Source organism: Homo sapiens, chromosome 3, assembly GCF_000001405.40.
Source record: "Homo sapiens chromosome 3, GRCh38.p14 Primary Assembly".
Lineage (NCBI taxonomy): Eukaryota > Metazoa > Chordata > Mammalia > Primates > Hominidae > Homo > Homo sapiens.
Genome location: NC_000003.12, coordinates 63,732,616 through 63,734,523, shown reverse-complemented (window position 1 = coordinate 63,734,523; position 1,908 = coordinate 63,732,616). Strand labels below are relative to the sequence as shown.

The following is a 1,908-nucleotide window of genomic DNA, read 5'->3' as shown; positions in this document are numbered from 1 at the left end:
CTTCACGTAGTTCTCGAGCCTTGGTTTTCAGCTCCATCAGCTCCTTTAAGCACTTCTCTGTATTGGTTATTCTAGTTATACATTCTTCTAAATTTTTTTCAAATTTTTCAACTTCTTTGCCTTTGGTTTGAATGTCCTCCCGTAGCTCAGAGTAATTTGATTGTCTGAAGCCTTCTTCTCTCAGCTCGTCAAAGTCATTCTCTGTCCAGCTTTGTTCCGTTGCTGGTGAGAAGCTGTGTTCCTTTGGAGGAGGAGAGGCGCTCTGATTTTTAGAGTTTCCAGTTTTTCTCTTCTGTTTTTTCCCCATCTTTGTGGTTTTATCTACTTTTGGTCTTCGATGATGGTGATGTACAGATGGGTTTTTGGTGTGGATGTCCTTTCTGTTTGTTAGTTTTCCTTCTAACAGACAGGACCCTCAGCTGCAGGTCTGTTGGAATACCCTGCAGTGTGAGGTGTCAGTGTGCCCCTGCTGGTGGGTGCCTCCCAGTTAGGCTGCTCGGGGGTCAGGGGTCAGGGACCCACTTGAGGAGGCAGTCTGCCCATTCTCAGATCTCCAGCTGCATACTGGGAGAACCACTGCTCTCTTCAAAGCTGTCAGACAGGGACATTTAAGTCTGCAGAGGTTACTCCTGTCTTTTTGTTTGTCTGTGCCCTGCCCCCAGAGATGGAGCCTACAGAGGCAGGCAGGCTTCCTTGAGCTGTGGTGGGCTCCACCCAGTTCGAGCTTCCCGGCTGCTTTGTTTACCTTAGCAAGCCTGGGCAATGGTGGGCGCCCCTCCCCCAGCCTCGCTGCCGCCTTGCAGTTTGATCTCAGACTGCTGTGCCAGCAATCAGCGAGACTCCGTGGGGTAGGACCCTCCAAGCCAGGTGCGGGATATAATCTCGTGGTGCACTGTTTTTTAAGCCCATCGGAAAAGCGCAGTGTTCGGGTGGGAGTGAGCCGATTCTCCAGGTGCCTTCTGTCACCCCTTTCTTTGATTAGGAAAGGGAACTCCCTGACCCCTTGCGCTTCCCGAGTGAGGCAATGCCTCTCCCTGCTTCGGCTCGCGCACGTTGCGCGCACCCACTGACCTGTGCCCACTGTCTGGCAATCCCTAGTGATATGAACCCGGTACCTCAGATGGAAATGCAGAAATCACCCGTCTTCTGCGTCACTCAGGCTGGGAGCTGTAGACCGGAGCTGTTCCTATTCGGCCATCTTGGCTCCTCCCACCAGGTATATGTATGTTACATGCATAAACTTTAGAGGGCTGTGAGAAATTCAGGAAACTATATTAATCATTATTAAATGATTCCATTTTCCTAGAAAAGTCTCGGGGAGGAAAATGCAGAGGATAAAGTAAGATTTTTACTTTCCCTTTCATAGTTTTACGTATCATTGAATTTTCTAACCTTGTATAAATATTATTTCTATACTTAATAAAATAAGTAGGGATTTTTTTGGTGGTGATAATTTAGGGCGTGGTTTTCTTTTTAAATACTTTATTCCTGGAGTTCTGGAATTTTAATACAGATCTGAGACTCTTCTTTTAAATCAGATTGAACCTAGGTTCAGGTCTCTCTACTGCTTGGGGTATTTTAATCCCCCAATTTGTATAATTAGTGTGACTCTTCCATCTGTCTCTTTCTCCTTGTGAAACTGATTCTTGGGTCTCCTGGATTTAGTAACTGGATCTCTTCTCTCTTCTCTCATAGTTTCTAATCCATCAAATTTGTGCTCTGCTATTTCAGAGATTTCTTTCACTTGATCTTCAGTCACTAATTCGAGTCTCATCAGTGGTGACCACCTTCAGTTTCAGCTCATCTACTGATGTTTTAAGTTTTAAAATAATATATATTTTTAAAAATACACATTTATTCAGCATCTTGATCAGACTATTACATTTAGCAGTCAACAGCATAGGTGCA

The 1,908-nt window shown here is 45.2% G+C and overlaps 1 annotated feature.

Annotated features, from left to right (window-relative positions):
- Positions 916–1,551: an enhancer, noted in NCBI's record as "NANOG-H3K27ac-H3K4me1 hESC enhancer chr3:63718649-63719284 (GRCh37/hg19 assembly coordinates)". NCBI's record gives its function as "activates a minimal SCP1, AML or CMV promoter by ChIP-STARR-seq in naive H9 embryonic stem cells {active_cell/tissue: H9 hESC(naive)}" and the evidence as "EXISTENCE:reporter gene assay evidence [ECO:0000049][PMID:30033119]".